This window comes from Homo sapiens, chromosome 5, assembly GCF_000001405.40.
Source record: "Homo sapiens chromosome 5, GRCh38.p14 Primary Assembly".
NCBI lineage: Eukaryota > Metazoa > Chordata > Mammalia > Primates > Hominidae > Homo > Homo sapiens.
In genome coordinates this window covers 59116995-59132739 of record NC_000005.10, presented here as the reverse complement: position 1 = coordinate 59132739, position 15745 = coordinate 59116995, and the positions used below count along the sequence as shown (strand labels likewise).

Below are 15745 nucleotides of genomic sequence, written 5' to 3'. Positions count from 1 at the left end.
CACAATCAAGTGGAAATGTTAATATTATCAACATGTCTTAAAGGCCATGAAGTCCTATGCCTGTATATGTAACAGGAATAGCAAACAGGAACTTTTCTTAAAGGGAAGATTAAACTAGTGTTATTTTTATGTATTCGTTAATTGCATGCTCCCCATTTTTAAAACTGTACCTGAAAATATACTGTAATAAAAAATTAAATTTGAAATATTATACCATTGAATAAGGTCCTCTGGATAGTTTTGAGATTTAATATTCTTTATTTCAATTTACATGTATACTGAATCACGTAAAAGTTATTTAGGTCAGTACTTCCCCACATTTGTTCCTTCATGACATACGCTGATAACTATATTTCTACGAAAACTGCAGTAAATAAAGGATGTGGCTTGTGTTCAGTCTCCCACCCACTAGCGACAAGAGCCAAGGGAAATCAATAGCTTGGCTCACCTGTCATCTCCACTCTTTGGCACACCATTGAGAAGTCTAATATGTGCAAAGAAAAGTTAATTTTACTTTCAAGGGTTATACCTTTGCTTATTCCAAAGAACGGTGGGGGAGTGTACCAGGGCCATTATTATAATGTATATTATTAAACTTTTTACATTTTAACTGATTTCTCTTATAGTAAAATTAATTATATATTAGCTTTGGGGTATACAAAATTGCACTTTGATAATAATATTTAGGAATTGGCAACTTTGTGGGCAAAGTTGTGGGAACTATCAGAAAAGTAAAAAATAAAGGTGGGACCCGAAAGAAGGAAGGATTGTAGGTTGGAGCCATACGCGACTAGAAACTAAGACATGTATCCTTAAAAACCCTCAAATCTGTGTTCTGATGGGAAAACCCTGCTAAGTCAATGGTTCCCAGACTTTGGAATTTCAAAACAAAAAACTGTGAGGCCCAACATACAATTACCAACTCTTCATTTTTGCCAAACAAAACTATTTTCAACAGAACACACTAACATATACTGGAACCATGATTTCATATTATGACATTTATTTTCCACATTCTATATACTTTTAATATGCAAAACAAGGACAAAAAGGGCAGTCATCTCCCATGGGGGGCTTAGAAATCTCTCATTAATGTGTGTGTGTGTGTGTGTGTGTGTGTGTGTGTGTGTGTGTGTGTGTGTTTTAAATTGGCCTTATTATTTCTTTAAATTTAACCAAGGGCCAGTAAAACTCCCTTTTGGAATACCACACGCCCGTGCTGTTCAGGAATGATTATGATAAAGTCATTCATGAGGACATAGAGTTATTTCATATGCTCTCAAAAATGACTTGCAGTGCGAAACACAGCTACTATTGGACAAGACAACAACCCAACTTTATATAACAATTTTTTAATTCACTAGTACTTGTGTATCAGTCAATAAAGTACCTGGTACTTGTGTACTAGGCACTGGGATGGAGTTGGGGATACGAAAGTGAAAAATATAGTCACAATTTCTACCTTATACTCTAGTAGGGGAAAGAAAAACAAAATGTATGATTGAACTGCCTTAAGCACCATGAAGGCAACATACAAATTGCTGTGAGAGCATATAACCAACTCAGAAATCAGCCTTAAACTGAGACCTAAAAAGGACTCCCCCTGTGCCTTTTGTATATTTAAGGCATCTTTTTTATATTCTAGAAATACAATATCATTGAGCAGATAGATTCCAAAGGGCCATCTTCTAGCTGGATGAAATAGAAAAGGGCACCCCTTCCTCAGGCTAACAGCCCTGCCTGCTGAGGGCATAGTTAGGTGAATGGATCATCACTAATGAATGGATGGTTTTAAAGAAGGGAATAACATGACCAAATTTGCATTTAACTTTACTCAATAGTCTGGAGTATTTAAATATGATTAAACCTTTTCTTTCCATTCACTTGAATGAGGCAGAAGGGCTATTCAGGAATTTAAAGTTGACTAAGGTATTGATTGGGTACAAAATTTTTACTAGGTAGGTAAGGGCAGGATGATTCCATTAGAAACAAGAACTTTTTCTCCAGTGCTCTGGGAAGAATTGATTGGTTCAGGGCTAAATCACCAAGATGAATACCTTCTTTTGATTCACACACCCTTTTGACATCTGGGTTTCCCTGAATCATATGCAATCTAGGACTTACGCAGACCACTCCAGTTTCACTTACGAAATTTGGGTTAGCCAACTTAAACAGTCATGGCTGTAATTTGCTTCTGAGTTAAAATGCTATTATTATTTTATGTTATTTATGGATTCCTGCAAAGGAGAAAGCATTTTTATTTTGATAAATTTTGTTATTAATGAAATTAACTCAATTTTGTAGTAACATAGTATACAGTGAAAATGTGCTTTACGAGATGCCGTGGCTTGTCTCTCAAATGGACAATGAGGCTTTCCGAAACCTTTGTGCCTTTAAGTTTAAGGAATTGATTTGGCGTCTTATCTCAGTGTACACAAAGCTTAGTTATCACCTAGGAAATATTGGATGTTTGTCTCAGGGAGAAGAGACAATTTTTGAGACCACAATTAGGTTTTGTAGCTATTTGACATCCAATTATAATCAGATACTCAGTGAAACATGCATTCATAATGCAGGCCAATGATCATATATTTGGCTTAGCTTTTCACTAGAAAAATTCTTTAAAGAAATATTGTCCTTCCAATTTTAGTGGTACTGAGGAACAGCTCTGGTTATAAGGGGGGAAATACTATATGTCCTTTGTTCAATCTTACTAATCTTTATTAATTTTATGATTTTCCCCATTTATTTTTTAAAAATCATTAATAAAATTATCCTTGATTGAGTTTCTCCTATGTGCTAGGCATTGTGATAGGACTTTAGTAAACATCATCTCTAACCCTTTCAATAACCCTGCAAGGTAGGGTCATATTTTATAGATAAGGAAACTGAGGCTCAGAGAAGTTATGTCTTGAAATTATATAGTAGCAAGTGGTTAAGCCAGGTTTCCAACACAGGTTTGTCTGACTCTAAAACCAGCATCTGCCCCATCTCCTCACCATTCGCGACCAGAATGTGATGCACGTCTACCAAAAAGAGAGTAGCAAAAGGTGATTTATAGAAGCAGTTACAGTCCTCTGAAGAGAAGGCAAAACTATTGGGGATAGGGAAAAAGTAACTATAAAGATCATATTTATATAATCGAATATTAACTTAATGGCTTGAATTAGGTGGCAAATAAAATATATTAGCAAGCAATGTTACAAACCATGGTGAGAGCTATGTAGTAGATGAAGCAGAATGATGGCTGGGCTCAGGGAGCTCATACATTTGGAACCCAGATAAATCTTTGCTCCTTCTTCCCAGAGCCCATCATCACTTTTTAAAAACACGTCTTTGCTGGGCTCAGTGGCTTACATCTGTAATCTCAGCACTTTGGGAGGCAAGGCAGGAGGATTACTTGAGCCCAGGAGTTTGAGACCAGCCTGGGCAACATAGGGAGATGCTGTCTCTACAAAAAATAACAAAGAACAAAACCATCTGAATTTCATGCATTCCAACATATATTATTTTGTTCCATTCTACTTAATAACCTTTACACTAGTTGTGAAACTCACTGAAAACAAAGGAGAAACTCATTATAATTCATCTAAACATTCCTGAAATATCACTTTAATCAAAAAATTAAGAAATATTGCTCAGATTTAAAAGAAAAATGGAAACTCCCTTGGCAAGTGGGTTTGAGGTTTGGTCATTAGGTTTTGAATAATCAGGAGCTATGTGTTGTAGTAGGAAAAGCATACCATTTAGAGAGAGACAGCTTTAGTTTGTCAGTCCTGCCTCTTAATAGGTGGATGACCTTGAGTAAAGCATGACGCAGCCTTTGGGCATCAGTTTCCTCACTTAAAGGTAGAAGGGTTGAACCAGGTGTAAGCTGCTGTTCTTCCATGTTATGATTCTAAATAGTTCTAGATGGAATTATGTTGCACATTTCATATGTTGTTAAACAGCTTCTCTCTGGAACAGTTGCTCCTAATCTCCTAATAAGCTTACTATGGGTCACTCAGCAATCTTCAAGAGAAACAAACATTATTTGGTTGGTGGATACCAAGACAATTCTGATGTGTTTGTGTCAAAGATTGGTCAGATGAAATCTAACTAGACATGTATCATTCCATCATCAAGCGAAATGACCTTGACTCTAAACATCTTAATTTGAACTGTAGACATTTCCCAAATGCTTTAGGGTAGATTTGGACCATAATACACTCCACTGTAAATGGAGAAAGTTCATCATCCCCATAATAATTGCCCCCAAACTGCTAGGTAGGAATGCATACTGGGTTTAGTATGTATTAACTCCCTTGTGAATTCAGCTTTTGAGAGCAGACCTCTTAACAAGTCATGAGTATTTAGAGTGAAATATTTAATTCTTAGTGATACTATTTTCCTATTCTGCTATTATTATTCAGCTATGATTATTTTCCTTCTCCTCCCAACCTCCTATTTCTTTTTCTTTATTAAAAAAAGGAGAGGAGGTGCATGCTGCCATCTGGGGTGAATATGGGCTTCACGTGGGGACCTGGGCGCTGGTTCTGATCCAGAGAGTGAGCTAGGAGCACTTACACAAGAGGGTCTTAGCCACTGTGTCGGGGGAATAGCCTTATATCAAAGACTGAAGCCTTTTAGTAAAACCTGAAGAATAATCAGAAGCAGCATTGACTAGTCTCTAACCTTGGTTGAGGGACACACACACACACACACACACACACACACACACACACGGCTCTGAAAGCTCAGACACGGAGGACACGCTGTGATCCACTTAGCCCTCTCTTCTCCTTCAGGGGGTCCTTGCAGGACAGAACGCTAAGGAACAAAGTCTTAACTGGCAAGCTGCCGGCAGAAGGAGACTGTCTGGTGGATTGCAGCGCTGATTAGGAACGGGGAGTCCTTTGCGTTTCAGAATCCGGTCCACATTTTGCTGAGAGCCCAGGCACTGTGAATAAGAGGAGCCTCTGAGGACTGGTTTCTGATGTCGCACTAGGCATGATAAGAATGCCATTGACGTCAGCAGAGTCATCATCAGGGAGAATGGCACCCCAGCTCTTGAAACCACACCAAGCAATTGCAGTGCTTTTGAAAATTAAAAGCCGGTGCTGGAGTGTGGGGGGTGAGGTGGGGGGTGGGGGGGTGGGGAGGGAAAGAAGCAAAGAGGGAAGTCGTGGCTCCAGCTGAACTCTTCTTTCTTCTATGCGTTTCCTGTATTTTAAAAAGGCAGGCTCACGGCCCTCCTGTGCACACGCCCGCTCACTCACACACACTGCTGCCTGGGCTCATTAACCTAAATTGGGGGAGGTGGGGGAAGAAGAAAGAGAGAAAGAAGGAAAAAAATTAATTCTGTTAACACTTCTGCATGCACATAAAACAAACTGTGCCACCCAGGTGCTGGACAGAGGCCCTGAGCCACATAAGCCTCTGAGAATCAAATTGCTGAGGTAAAACTGATATGCTTTAAATGTGTGTTGATGAAGAGATTACAAGGGAGGAATTAAACACTTCAAAGGAGCTACTACAAAGCAACAATCACTCTTCCCCCATCCCTCACACACGCACATTACTGTGGACGCTTGCATGTTTGTGTGTCTGCCTGAGAAAATGGCAAAGTTGGTTTAGGAAGGGAACACTGCAGGCATGTTGTGATTTCAGCTTTCACAGGCAGCTCCAAGAACATCACCTCCAGCTATAATTCAACGGTTACCTGGACTGGAAAATGTCTTGGAGGTTACGAAGTCTTTGAATTCTTTAGTGTAAATTGTCTCCGCTTTGAAATTCCACAATTGATCGAATCCTTTCATTCTCTTTCCCACTCCTAATTGTTCCACTCTAACTCTCCACCCACCGCCAGGAATATGAAAACAACATAGAGTAGAACTGATGATATCAGCTGTATAACACGCTTTATTTTACGGCATTAATGGGCAGCTTTCCAAGTCCATAAAAATCTTTTGCTGATCTGATTTTAATATCCATATTCTTCAGTTATACTAGAAAGAATGATTTCCGAGATGTGGAAATGTTAGCCGGGAAACAAAAGGACATAGGCACATAAAGCAAAATCTGGCAGGAAATGTGGGTTTAATAAATTGAATTATGTGAAACTCCTATTTCAAATGGACTGATACTAGAGGAGCAGCCCTCGAGAGATATGCACAGTAATGATTCTTCGTTTTCAAAGACCTGTTTCTTTTTGAAAAGGAAGAAGCCCTGAACAGCATTCCTTTCAAATACACAAAGGTAGCTAAAGTACAACCTTCTCCTCTTTCCTATTTGTTCTTTAAAAAATTGTAAAAATTATATTAAGTGTGCTTCTTGTGATAGAGTCAATAAAGGGAGAAGGAGTTTAGCAAAGCACATTTACTATATACTCTTAACCCGTCTTGCTTACTGTAATAATCGAAAGAAAGATGGCTAATTGTCTTGCAGGAATTTGGGTTATCCTCTGAAAGGATACAAGTAAATTTGTAACTTGGGTCGTATTGGCTATTTTTTGTTCTCTTTTGCTTTCATTTTTGTTTTGTCTGAGGTTTATAAATGGAACCCTTCTTTCCTTTCTTCCTTTTTTCCTTCCTTCCTTCTTCCCTTCCTTTTTTCCTTTCTTCCTTGCTTTCTCTCTCTCTCTCTCTCTCTCTTTTTTTTTTTTTACAATTGTACTTAAAAGAATAAAGGATTCTGAAAATCAGTTCCAGGATCCAATAAGGGCCTAGATTGTATATCACAGGATCAGAGCCCCTTGCTCTCAAATTTATGATTGTGAGGATGTATTATTGTATTTGGGGGATCAATAAGCAGAGCCAGAGCCTTCACACAAGGCTCCTTGTGCCCCCTCCCCCGCTCCATCCCATGAGGTTAAAAAGCACTGACTTTGACTTTAACACTGTGAACAAAATACAGAACAACTGTTTCAATTCCCTTCACTATTTCTGCTATGTGCCTAGATTAGATGTTTTCTGACCTGTCTCCCTAAGTTGTTCCTGTCACTTGTGTCTGTCATTCGCTCCCCCATCGCATCCTGCCCAACCCTCCCTGTCTATGATTCGAATTGCTCTCTGTCCAGATCATTTCCTGCAGTGAAAAACGAAGAAAGACTTTCTCCCTTCTTCCCACCTACACATTCCTTTTGTCCCCCAAGATATCCCTTCCTCTTGCCTGGAATCTTCCCAGGCCTTAATTGATTGATTTAGGCCCCCTTTGCACCAGGCACCCTAGCGGAAGCCCAGAAAGCCCCAAGAGTCTGGATGTGTTTTGGAGAGCAGGCTCAGGTTCACTGCACACTAATTTGCAGCAGGAAGTGCTAGGAAGCCCGATGAGGGATGGGAATTAGCAAATAAGGTTGGCAGTCAATTGACAGAGGAAGCTTAAGGAAGAGGATCATTTTGAAAAGGAAAAATAATTTAATCCTTTTCAGGTGTGTTAATTTCTTTCGTGGACCAAATTACCATGGACCTGGAATAGTTGAGATTTTCCCTAAGGTCTGGCTGTACTTCATAGGGAAGAAGCAAGGGTAAGTGCAGTAAATTTGATTATGGACACCAGTCTAACTCTAGCTTAATGAGCCATGGAAACAAAATAGCTCAATCTCTTCTAACTGCTGTAATGCAACACTAGGAGCATTGAGAGCACTGTGGTTTTGGTTACACAAATTTGTAGTACAGGCCTTGCCTCAGCATTTGAACATTTCAGCAAGAGAGCTGAACTTGCTTCGTTCTTCATGTAGCAGATATAAGTCTTTTGGAATTAATTTGAAAAAAAAAGAAAAGAAAAGAAAAGAAATGTACCCAGAAAGCAAGAGATCTTAAATGTATCCAAAACCTAGAACAAACAAACATTAACATTTGCCATAATTACTGTGGGTGTTTTTAATAAAAATATATAGATAGATAATTTTGGAGGTTGCATTTCCCCACCATCACTGCCAGCCTCATTTTTCTTCCATCCTCTCCAGAACAACCTCTGCCATAAATTTAGGAAATAGTCAACCTGTTCACATTTTCATCTTTTTACTATATATGTTCTTATTCACAAACGAATATGTTGTAGTTATAAAAAGTCATCAGTATCTTTTAGCTTATTTTTTTAAATGCAACATTATGTTTGTTGGATCATTTTACTCTTGTCCCAGTGCACCCTGTAATTCCCATGAATTGACAGGTAGCGATAGATCAGCAGTAGTAAAGTAACTGATATGGGTAGGTTAATAGAATGACCCTTTTAAGAAGGGATCTCAAAGAGGGAGGCTAGGTAAGCTACAAAATTATCAGGGCGAAATGCAGTGAGGTAGAAGTGAAAGCAGCTTAGAGTCAGCCTGGGCTAAGATAAATGAGGAGTGGAGCTGCAGCTGGAGGAGCAAGAGAATATGGTCTACTCGAGTATAAATCAAGCTTGCTGGTGAGCAGTTTAGGACTAGCTCCTGGTTTTACAGCAAGACTTTTTATGTGATCTTGACCAAACCACTGCACTTGATTGCTCCTTTCTACTCCTTGGTCCTCACGTGTCAAATAAAACCCCTGAATTGCAGAGCCAAAATGCAAACAAATAGAACTCCTCACTCAACCTCCCTCAGTTTATAAGTAAGGAAATGAAGACCTAGTAAAACATTATAACTTACAGATACCTGTCAGGGCAGAACCAGAAGCTGGACTTGGGCTAGGAAAAGTTGTTCCCCCCTGATTACATTTTCCAAAGGTTATACCTTTTCCACAGTTTCTAAGGTAACATGTTGATTGACTTGACAGTTGTAGAAATATTAGGAAGTGGTATAAAGCCAAGACCATGTTTACTAAACAGTGCTGCTCTTTTTTTTACATCATACAGATGAGAAAGCTGGTGCTCAGGGAATTTAAGCAACTTGCCCAGAGTCACGTAGCTTAGAAGTGTTAGAGCCAAGATTTGGACCCCAGTCTTTCTCACTTTCACAGACTTGCTTTTAACCACTGTGTTATGCTATGCTGCCTCAGTATAAGCTCCTTTCAAACAAACCACTTCCAGTCTCTGACATGCAAGCCCAGAAGTTTTCAGATTTACAATGGCATACTTTTTTTCTATCTGCTAAGTGTTAGATGTCACGGTGTCTGCAATGGAGTAGAGCTTTAGAAATGAGGATAAAACATTTGGTTTGATGTTAGTATTAAGAACTCCAATATCCAAGGCAGGAAACTTGGTAATTAATATTTTAAATGGACTGGAGGGGTCACAGGTATTAAAATCAATATTTTGATGGCAAGATAACAATGTAGGAACAAATAATTGGAGATGTTTAGCAAAATTATGAATTAAGTAGATGTATAAACGGCAGATTATGAAAGGGAAACAAAGATTACCTGGGAAGAGTTTTGTGTTTTAGTCAACTGAATTACCAGAATGGGCAGAAAAAGGAAGTATCAAAGAAGGGTCTGCTGATAGAAAATTAAATAAAGAAGAAGATGCCATGGAAACGTTTTTAGTGCAAATACACTATTGCTCATGGCTGAAGACAGAAAGAAGACTATGTGTGACTTCCAGATGAAGTTCAGGCATAGAGGCAGGGCTAAATAAACAAGCACATAGACCCGAGAATTCTCGTTGATTGATCTTTGGAAATTCGGTATAAATATGATCAGTTCAACCATGCCTTAGCTACTGGATCAAAGGAGACATCTACCGGCTTTGGGAGATAGGAATCTGGAAAATTGACAGACTGAAAAAACCAAAACCAAAGAAAAAAAAAAACAAAAAAAACAGAGAATGCAGAATGCCATTTTAAAAACCCTAAGAGGCTGTGTCTGATGTTACAGGACTCTTTGACTCCATTAGTCTCAATTCTAATATTTAAGTTAAGTGATTGTGGGCATAGAATTTTTTTCAAAACCTGTTTCGAAATGAAGGCTTCCCATACATTGAAGTTAAAAGTGGTCTTGAGAAAAGAACTTCTTAATAGGTAAGGGGTTTTACTTTGGAATGTTGAAAATGTTTGGAACTAGATAGAGGTGGTGGTTGCACAACATTGTAAATGTGCTAAATGCCACTGAATTCTTGACTTTACTATTTTTAAGTTTATGTGATATGAATTTCACTTCAGTAAATTATCTTTGTTGGTGCATAATTACTGTATATATTTATGGGGTTCATGTGATGTTTTGTTACATACACAATATGTATAATGATGGAATCGGGGTATTTACGGTATCCATCACCTCAAGTATTTATCATGCCTGTGTGTCCTCTTTCTAGCTATTTTGAAATATGCAATACCTGTTGTTAACTCTAGTCACCTAATCTGCTATGGAACATTAGAGCTTATTCTATCTGTGTGTTTGCACCCATTAATCAATCTCTTCATCCCCTCCCCTCCCACCTACACACTCCTCCCAGGCTCTGGTATCTATCGGTCTACCTTCATGAGTTCAAGTTTTTTAGCCCCTGCATATGTGAGAACATGTGATATTTATCTTTCTGTGCCCAGTTTATTTCACTTAACATAAAGATCTCCAGTTCCATCCATGTTGCTGTAAATGACGATTTTATTCTTTTTTATGGCTGAATCATATTCCATTGTGTATACCATGTTTTCTTTCTTTCTTCCTTTCTTTCTTGCTTTTTTTTTTTTTTTTTTTTTTTTTGAGATAGAGTCTTGCTCTGTCATCCAGGCTGGAGTGCAATGGTGCCATCTCAGCTCACTGCAACCTCCGCCTCCCGGGTTCAAGCAATTCTTCTGCCTCAGCCTCCCAAGTAGCTGGGACTACAGGCGAGTGCCACCATGCCCGGCTAATTTTTGTATTTTAAGAAGAGATGGGGTTTCACCATATTGGCCAGGCTGGTCTGGATCTCCTGACCACGTGATCCGCCCGTCTCGGCCTCCAAAAGTGCTGGGATTGCAGGCATAAGCCACTGTGCCTGGCCGTATACCACATTTTCTTTATCCATTCATCTGTTGAGGGACCCTTAGGTTGATTCTCCATCTTTGCTATTCTGTATAGTGCTGCAATAAACTTGGGGATGTAGGTATCTCTTTGATACACCAATTTCTTTTCCTTTGGATAAATACCCAGTAGTGAGATTGCCGGACATAGTGGTTAGTTCTATTTTTAGTTTTTTGAGAAATCTCCATGCTGGTTTTCATAGTGGCTGTACTAATTTACATTCCCACTGGTGATATGTAAGAGTTCCCTTTTCTCTGCATCCTAGCCAGCATCTGTTATTTTTTTTTTATTTTTTATTATTTTTTGCATTTTTAATAATAGCCCTCTAACTGGGGTAAGATGATATCTCATTGTGGTATCAATTTGCATTTCCTTGATTATTAGTGATGTTGAGCATTTTTTCATATTGGACATTTGTATGTCTTCTTTTGAGAAATGCCTATTTATGTCCTTTGTCCACTTTTAATGGGATTGTGTGCTTTTTTACTATTGAGACGTTTGAGTTCCTAATATATTCTGAATATTATTCCCTTGTCAGATGAGTAGTTTGCAAATATTTTCTCCCATTTAATAGATTGTCTCTTCACTCTCTTGATTGTTTGCTTTGCTGTGCTATACAGAAATTTTTAGTTCAATACAGCCCCATTTATCTATTTTTGGTCGTGTGGCCTGTGCTTTTGAGGTTTTAGCCATAAAATCTTTGCCTAGACCAATGTCCTGAAGTGTTTCTTCTGTGTTTTCTTCTAGCAGTTTTATGTTTAAGTCTTTAATCCATCTTGAGTTGATTTTTGTATGGTGAGAGATAGGGGTCTACTTTCATTCTTCTGCTTATGGGTGTCCAGTTTTTCCAGCATCATTTATTGAAGAGATCTCCTTTCCCTAATGTATATTCTTGGTGCCTTTATAGAAAATCAAATGTATCTATCATTATGCTCTCTGTCTACTCTAAATCTATCAGTCCACTCTGTAAAAATGTGGATTTGTTTCCAGGCTCTCTGTATTATTCCATTGGTCTATGTGTCTGTTTTTATACCATGTTGCTTTTGTTACTATAGCGTTGTAACATATCTTGAAGTCAGGTAGTGTGATATATTCAGCTTTGTTCTTTTTGCTCAGGATTGCTTTGGTTAGTTGTGCTTTTTTTTTGGTTCCATAGAAATTTTAAGTTTTTTTTTATTTCTGTGAAAAATGACATTGGTTTTGATAGGGATTGCATTGAATCTGTAGATTGCTTTGAGCAGTACAATAATTTTTTTTTTTAAAGAGAAAGGGAGAAAGAATTGGGCACTAAGTACATCAGAGTAGATGTTTATCAATTTTTTTAAAAATGGTCTTGGCTACCATAAACTGTGATGTTCTTGAGAGCTTACATTGTGTCTTGTTGATTTTGGAATTGTTGATACTCAAAGTGCCTGACACATAGACTTGATTCATATGTATTTAATCAATGAATGAATGGATAACTCTGACCTCCTCTTAGTGAAGTGCACGTCATGGGGCTACCACTTGACTATATGCTGTGGGATAGATCAAAGAAAGGTAGGACACAACCTTGAACAAAATTAAAGTAACCTTCAGCTTGTTTATAAAAAGTGTTCTGGTGGAGAAATAATGAATCTTTTCAGATTTTAGAGTGTTGCTGATTTGATTTCAATTTGCATTTTTAACCATCAGTCTCTGTGGAACTTTAGTTTATAGGTAGGACTTTTGATTGAGCTTGGTGGCTCACACCTGTAATCCTGGTGCTTCGGGAGGCCGATGTAGGAGGATCACTTAAGGCCAGGAGTTTGAGACCAGCCTGGGGAACAGACTCTACTAAGAATAAAAAAATTAGCCAAGCAGAGTAGTGCATGTCTGCAGTCCCAACTACTTGGGAGGCTGAGCCTGGAGGATCCCTTGAGCCCAGGAGTTTGAGGTTACAATGAGCCATGATCCCACCACTGCACACTGGCCTATGCAGCAGAACAAGACCCCATCTCAAAAAGCAATGACACACAGAAAAAGCAGAATTTTAATTTGTTCTGCTCTTGTCTCTAGCACTTCATATCCATTTCTCTGAATATGAACAGTGGGAAAGGTAGTGGAATTGAAATGGATCATAGAATGTTTCCTCTACTGATAATTTTTACTCCATTTGGAGTATGATTGAAGAGCTAATGTCAAGATGCACAGCAGGACTCAATGATTGAAAAATAGTGTTACTGATGTAAAAGTCACCATATTTTAAGCTTTCTTTATGATAGTCTTCCATTATTTCCTTTGTCATATTAGCACCACTGGAAAAACACAAGTTATACGTAGGGTAGAAAATGTAATGACAATTTGGTGTTTTATAAACAATAATAAATCAGCTTTCATGAAATTAGGCTATGTCCTCTGCTCTGGTGTTAGAACTTACTTTTGCCTGAGCTCACTAAATAATTATTTCAATTTCCCAGATAAATGTACTTCTGTGGACAGAGGCCATATGCTGGTAGCCCCTATACAATATATAGAGAGCATAAATTTCCTCTTCTCTCTTGGTATTTAAAATTAGGATTTTTATAAAATGCATTTTATTCTTATTTTGCTTCTCCATCATTAGAAAGATTCCTGGATCTGTAAACCAAAAATAATAGTAATAATAATGATAATAAGATTTTGGCAATTTAAAGAGAAATTCACTTTCGTGAATATGGTCACGCCAGCTATCTTTTGAACCTTAAAGGAGGCAGGAAGAACATTTGAATTAAGAATTTTGGAGTATTACAACCTCATTTGGTTCTCAGAAGCTTTTTTTAATTTCATCTTCTCCACGCCAGTTTATACAATTCTCTCATGCCTCACTTTACTTTTATATCTTTTCTTAAAAACAGTTTAAATTGTATCCTCCCCACCCCACTTTATACAATTCTCTCATGCCTTACTTTACTTTTATATTTTTTCCTCCATTCTTCCTTGTTTCATTCATTCACTCTCCCAAGTCCTCTGGCCTAAGTTTTATTTGTGTGGTATTAAGCAGAGACCAACAGAACAACTGTGAAGACTTCTTGGGGATAAACCAGGTTTCACTTGAATTGTGGTGCGTCTGCCATTGGTGTGGAAGCAGGGCAGAAAGAGGACAGAGGCATACCAGCAAGTACAGACATCTAAACACAAAGAGAGGAGAACAACCTCAGGGATACTCCCTCAGTGCCTGGGAAGAAAGCAAAACTTAAAGTGCTCATAGAATTGTAAATAAACTCTCTCCTCTTTGAAATTTATGTTCGATGGTTGCTGTGTAGTTGCAACAGTGTCATAAAGTCCATGAGGCCTATTTTTTTTGAGTAATCAATATTGTGGAAAAGTGCTAGAGCAGACCTACCTTATATAAATTAATTTGTTTGAATTGCTCTATTCACTATGAATAAATATTTATTGGAGTACCTTCTATATGCTGGGGACCTCAGCCATGAGATACGCAGGTGGAAAAAATAACACTTAAGCAGCTTATTGTATAGCAGAGAGGTGGTTGAATTGATAGACAATTAAAATACAACGTGTTGAAAGGCCTGTTAAAGCCACAGGGTCACTCAGTGGCAGGAGGGATTCAGTCAGCCTGGGCCAGCCATGGCAAGTAAGTGGCCTTTGGAAAGTTACCAAGGTAAGACATACCTGATACGTTCAAGAAACAATTCCAAGGTTCAATAAGGCCAGAAGTTAAAGGGCAATGTAAGCCCTGGAAACTGAGGCTAGAAAGGTAGAAGGATCTCTTTTTACCACACACTGTGCCGGGCACCATGAAGAATACAAAATAGCTAGCTATTATGGAGCCTACACTTTAATGTGTGTACATAGATACATGTCCATGTTGGAATTTAACTCCTTGAGAGGTCATGAATTACTTAGTCCCGGAAGCATTTGAATTTATACTGGAAAGCTATAGTAGAGAGTTGACAAAATATTTTAAATGTAGTAAGAAGAATTTGACAATCTATTGTGTGGTATGCTAGCAAGCCAGTTCTCCTTCCTCCTTTTCTCACCATCCCACCACCCCTCACAAAAAAAAAAAAAAAGTTAAAAACCTGATCTGCAGTGTTTGTCTATGGCCATGGTGCAAATACTCCTCCCATGGCTGGTTCCAAGCTACCACTGGTTCAACAGTTCTTTTGCAGAATTCTTGAATCTTTAACACTTAACAAGATCCAGTTCCAGCATATTCCTGCAACAGCGATTCTGCAGTTCTCAATGTCAAATAATAGAACCAAAAAGTCATATAAGTACTACAAAGAAGAAGAGAGAGTTGAGAGCCAGCTTAGCCAGGAAATGCTCCAGGGGGAAGTAAGGCTTGAGTTGGGACTTATAGATAAGAAATGTAAATAAAAAGGAACAAACACTCCCACCGTGATGCACAAATATTGGATCATGTATGTGTGTGACAAGTGTGGCCGTCTGTAGTGGAGGGTCCAGGTAAAATTTAGGCCATGAAAGCCTTGGTCTGTCAAACTAATACATTTTGTTACATTAAAGTTAGTAGACAGCCATTAATGGTTTTTAAAAACAGATGGTCATAGCAATGTTTTGACAAAAGCAATTTTTAAGGAAGATTTTGTTTTTATAAAAAGTTGAATTATTGATAGCAGTGAGACCCCAGAATAGAATAAGAGACCTGCCTCATGTAAGTGAGAGTAATTCAATTCAGCAGTAATCTTGGAAATTTGTAACTTCTGTGGTGAGAAATTGTATCCTGGGATGTTGGGTAAAGCCACTGTGAAGCCAAAGAAATTAGTGGCTAAACGTAGAGAAATTAAGATGAAGGAACTGGCACATGGAGCCACTGTGTACTATAAAGTATTTTTATTGGTATTTAGTCTTGCTGTTATTGTTGC

The 15745-nt window shown here is 38.2% G+C and overlaps 1 protein-coding gene across 26 annotated transcripts in view, besides 3 other annotated features; it reads left to right on the top strand.

Moving 5' to 3' along the window:
- The window catches only part of PDE4D (phosphodiesterase 4D), a 1553091-nt gene that overhangs the window by 1389389 nt on the left and 147957 nt on the right, over positions 1-15745 (top strand). The gene's annotated exons all lie outside the window — the stretch shown is intronic.
- Positions 271-471: a silencer, noted in NCBI's record as "peak5260 fragment used in MPRA reporter construct". NCBI's record gives its function as "represses an SCP1 promoter by STARR-seq MPRAs in K562 erythroleukemia cells {active_cell/tissue: K562}" and the evidence as "EXISTENCE:reporter gene assay evidence [ECO:0000049][PMID:32103011]".
- Positions 4145-5054: an enhancer, noted in NCBI's record as "OCT4-NANOG-H3K27ac-H3K4me1 hESC enhancer chr5:58423513-58424422 (GRCh37/hg19 assembly coordinates)". NCBI's record gives its function as "activates a minimal SCP1, AML or CMV promoter by ChIP-STARR-seq in naive H9 embryonic stem cells {active_cell/tissue: H9 hESC(naive)}" and the evidence as "EXISTENCE:reporter gene assay evidence [ECO:0000049][PMID:30033119]".
- Positions 5055-5965: an enhancer, noted in NCBI's record as "OCT4-NANOG-H3K27ac-H3K4me1 hESC enhancer chr5:58422602-58423512 (GRCh37/hg19 assembly coordinates)". NCBI's record gives its function as "activates a minimal SCP1, AML or CMV promoter by ChIP-STARR-seq in naive H9 embryonic stem cells {active_cell/tissue: H9 hESC(naive)}" and the evidence as "EXISTENCE:reporter gene assay evidence [ECO:0000049][PMID:30033119]".